Source organism: Homo sapiens, chromosome 1 (genome assembly GCF_000001405.40).
Source record: "Homo sapiens chromosome 1, GRCh38.p14 Primary Assembly".
Lineage (NCBI taxonomy): Eukaryota > Metazoa > Chordata > Mammalia > Primates > Hominidae > Homo > Homo sapiens.
In genome coordinates, this window is record NC_000001.11 from 224,847,854 (window position 1) to 224,852,461 (window position 4,608).

Genomic DNA, 4,608 nt, shown 5'->3' on the forward strand with positions numbered 1-4,608 from the left:
GATGATGTTGATGGGCCTCCTCTTTGTGCGGGTTGGACAGCTGGGGGCCTAGGGGCCAGGAAACTGGAGAAAGCATTCATCCAGGCTCATTCATGCTTCAGTGTGGCTGAGTTTTCAAAATATTAGTTGGTCCTTTCTTCATATCTGAATTGAGTGTCATGCAAGACCCCTAAATGGTGCCCAGTGACTGATTAGATGGAATAATTAATTTTACATGAGAGTGGAATTTCCTTTAACCTTCACACAGATGTCACGTTATGATAATGTTGCTTAATGCCATGGTTCTAGTTCTGAAGATGGTTTCAGAGGGAGAACTATCACAGAGACTTTTACCTTAGGTGAGACCTTTGCACATGTAGGGTTTTGTCACAATCTGCTTAATTGTCTTGCAAATGGAGTTTCAAAAACAAAAGTGTGTAAATTAGTACAGCTGTTATGGAAAACAGTATGGAGTTTCCCCCAAAAGCTAAAAATAGAAGTACCCTGTGATCCAGCAGGTCCCACTGCTGGGTATATATATCCAAAGAAAATGAAGTCAGTATGTCAAAGAGACATTTGCACTCTCATGTTTATTGCAGCACTATTCACAACAGCCAAGATATGGGATCTACCTAAGTGTCCATCAACAGATGAATGGATAAAGAAAATTCAGTCTTAAAAAAGAAGGACATCTTGTCAGTTATGACAACATAGTTGAAACCGAAGGACATCGTGTTAAGTGAAATAAACCAGGCACAGAAAGACAAATACTACATGATCTCATTTTTATGTGGAATCTAAAAAAGTTGAACTCATAGAAGCAGAGAGTAGAATGTTGATTACTAGGGGATGAGGCAGGGATTGGCAGGGATAGAGAAAGGGGAGATAATGGATCAAAAGGTACAAAGTTTCAGTTAGGGGGAGTAAGTTCAAAAGAGCAATCATATGTCATGGTGACCACAGTTAAGAATAATATATTGGGTCAGATGTGGTGGCTCATGCCTGTAATCCCAGCACTTGGGATTTAGGAGGCTGAGCCAGGAGGATCGCTTGAGCCTAGGAGTTCAAGACCAGCCTGAGCAACATGGTGAAACCCTGTCTCTACAAAAAAAATACAAAAATTAGCCGGGCATGGTAGTATGCACTTGTAGACCTAGCTACCCAAGAGGCTGAGGTAACAGGATCAGCTGAGCTTGGTGAGATTGAGGCTGCAGTGAGTTGTGGTCATGCCACTGCACTCCAGCCTGGGCTACAGAGGGAGATCCTGTCTCAATAATAATATATACTTGAAAATTGCTAAGAGAGTAGATTTTAAGTGTTCTCACCACAAAAAATAAGTATGTGAGGTGATACATATGTTAAATTCTTGATTTAGCCACTCCACATTGTATACATATGTCAGAACATCATGTTGTGTCAGAAGCTTTGAATCAGAGCTATTCCATCTTGAGTAGGGGCTGGGTAAAATAAGGCTGAGACCTACTGGGCTTCATTTCCAGGTGGTTAGGCATTCTATGTCATGGAATGAGATAGGAGGTCAGCACAAGATACAGGTCATAAAGACCTTGCTGATAAAACAGTTTGTGGTGAAGAAACCGGCCAAAACCCACCAAAATCAAGACGGTGACAAAAGTGACCGTCTGGTCGCCCTCACTGCTCATTATACACTAATTATAATGCATTAGCATGCTAAAAGACACACCCACTAGCACCATGACAGTTTACAAGTGCAATGGCAACGTCAGGAAGTTACCCTATATGGTCTAAAAAGAGGAGGAACCCTGAATTCTGGGAATTGCCCACTGTTTTCCTGGAAAACTTATGAATAATCCACCTCTTGTTCAGCATATAATCAAGAAACAACCATAAAAATGGCCAACCAGCAGCCCTTGGTGCTGCTCTGCCTATGGAGTAACCATTCTTTATTCCTTTACTTTGTTAATAAACTTGCTTTCACTTTACGGATTCACCTCAAATTCCTTCTTTCACGAGATCCAAGAACCCTCTCTTGGGATCTGGATTAGGACTCCTTTCTGGTAACAGTTGTACACCATAAATACATACAATTTTTACTTGTCAATTTAAAAAATTTTTAAAAGAGAAGAGAATGAGAGAATGAGTCAGTGATCATAATTCAAAAGTGGGCAGATCATGAGGTCAGGAGTTCGAGACCAGCCTGACCAACATGGTGAAACCCCGTCTCTGCTAAAAATACAAAAATTAGCGGGTATGGTGGTGCACCCCTGTAATCCCAGCTACTCAGGAGGCTGAGTCAGGAGAATCACTTGAACCAGGCAGGCGGAGGTTACATTGAGCTGAGATCGCGCCACTACACTCCAGCCTGGGTGACAGAGCAAGACTCCGTCTCAAAAAAAAAAAAAGCATCTTCCTTGTTGACATGGTCATTTTCCAAAATGAATGATACCATCTTTACACTTATCATCTGGTGCTAGATTGAAGGTGCTCTCCTCTGAAGCATTTACCTACAGATCTTACCTGATGGCTGCCTTTTTGAAATCTGTGTCTGACGACTGAGGGGTCACCATGTTATTGCACCCACACACACGGTTGAGATGGGGCCCAGGTAGCAAGGGTCTTTGCCTACTGTATCATTGAAGCTCAAAAGCACACACAGAGTTTCCATATTGTATTTGGATCACTTTGGTGAACTGGAAACAGTAATCTGGCTGTGAGGGTAGTAGGTTTTCCCAGTGGGGAAGATGCCCCCCTAACCACAGGCATCCCATTGGTGTGAAGAGAAATGAGCCAGGAGCTTTCATCATCATCGGACCATCAGACCACACACATGCGCCCTCACACTCTGCTTCTAAATGCCCTGAATGCCTTAAAGGTAGAGAAAACACATTTTCTTTGGTTGTGAATCTGTGGTATGAACATAAGCAGAGGGTGCTACCTCCTTTGCCTTGTTTTGATATTTATTTGTTCAGGGACCATGTATTGAGAGGTATCTACATGCAGACACTGTGTTAAGCTGAGAGCAAATCTGGGGCAGAGCACAATAAATAGTCAGTGTTTGTGGCTTTTAGATTGATGAGCAAATATTCACACAAATAAATGTTCAATTCATTGAGTTGTCACCCTTTTCAACCTCAGACTGAGCTCCAGAATGGGGACTAGGCCATTTCACCTCTGCACCCCAGCATGCAGCCCAGTGTTTGGAGGAGTGGGTGCTGAGAAGTTGGCTGAAAGCACCATCCTCGTGCTGTCTAATGTCAGCTCCTGCAAGGGAAGCTCTTGGGTCCTAGCACCAAGGGTAGAGGTCACTGTGGTTGTCCTGCCAAGATATGCTCTCCTGAGGTGGCTGTTGGAGGAGCGGCGCGTAGAGACATGGAGTGCATCTCAGAGCTCAGACCTTGGCCGCTCCTCTGGGATGGTCGCAGCATCTCTCTTCCTGACCACACTACAAGGGTTGGTGACCAAAAGGAATGTTTGAGCCTTCAGTAGTTACAGAAGTGAGGCCCTAAGCACTGCCCATCCAGTGCAGGCTTGGAATGGGGGTCGTTCCAAGGTGTCCACAGTCAGACCCACCTGCTCCAGGGTGGCTGAGAGCATGAGAAAAGGTAACTTGCTCAGAGTGCTCAGTACTGACCTATGCTGGTCAGTGACAGCTGCCAATAAACAAGGGGGTGGGGACTGTGCCTCCCAAGGTAGGCCAGCCTAACTCTGTAAAGCACTGTTAGTTTAACTGTCCCAAAGCGAGCTATGGACAAGAGCCTTGAAGTCCAGTGTTTTATAATGGGCATAAACACAAGGTGCCAGCTTGGAGGACTTTCTGCTGATGCCCTCAACAGAGCCAGCTCTGGCATAGTGCCCTCTGCTGGTGATGTGGATCCATGCTCGGCAAGCCCGGGAAAAAAGGCAGGTCAAGACACTTTGAGACTCCTTCTCAGGCCACCACATGGTGTTTAATGATTATTGTTATATTCTAAGTTGATAGAAGTGCACTCTGGCCCTTAGCTGGGGACCAAAGCAAAGGAGTGGAGAGGAGCTAGGAGGGCAGTAGCAACACGGGGACACCCTCTAAGCAGCAGCTCAGCCCGTCCCTGCCCTGGCCTTTCAGCCCCTCACTCCTCCTGAGTCCTCTCAGCTCACTGCCATGAGGTGTTCTATGTTTCCTCCACGGGGCTGGGGGATCCGAAGGCAGGCACTACTTTGACTTTCTGCATCTGGAGGCCACAGTAGGTACTGAATACACCTTTGATGGAAGGGCTCATCACCTGTTCCGTTCCCACACTGTTTCCATGACAAATGACTGAATGCAGACTGTGCTCGAGAGGCTCGCACAGCAGGGCCGCTCCCACTGCTCTGTTGCTTAAACAGGAAAGGGTCCAGCCTAGGGCACCGAAGGCAAAGGAGCAGAGGGGGGTTCTCTCAATTCAGTGAGGGGCACAAAAGGCAACCCACCCCCAGCTCATCCCTGGGAGCCCAGAAGCCCATGAAGAAGGCTTTCTGGAGTGCCCTGGTTGTCCAGCATGGTACGGACAGACGGTGGGGCTAGTCAGCAGTAGCACACCTTGGTCTCCACTGCATCTGGGTTTGAATCCTTGTGCTTTCACTTGCCAGCTCTGTGCCTGTTAACATCTCTGAGCCTCTGTTTTCTCATCTAAA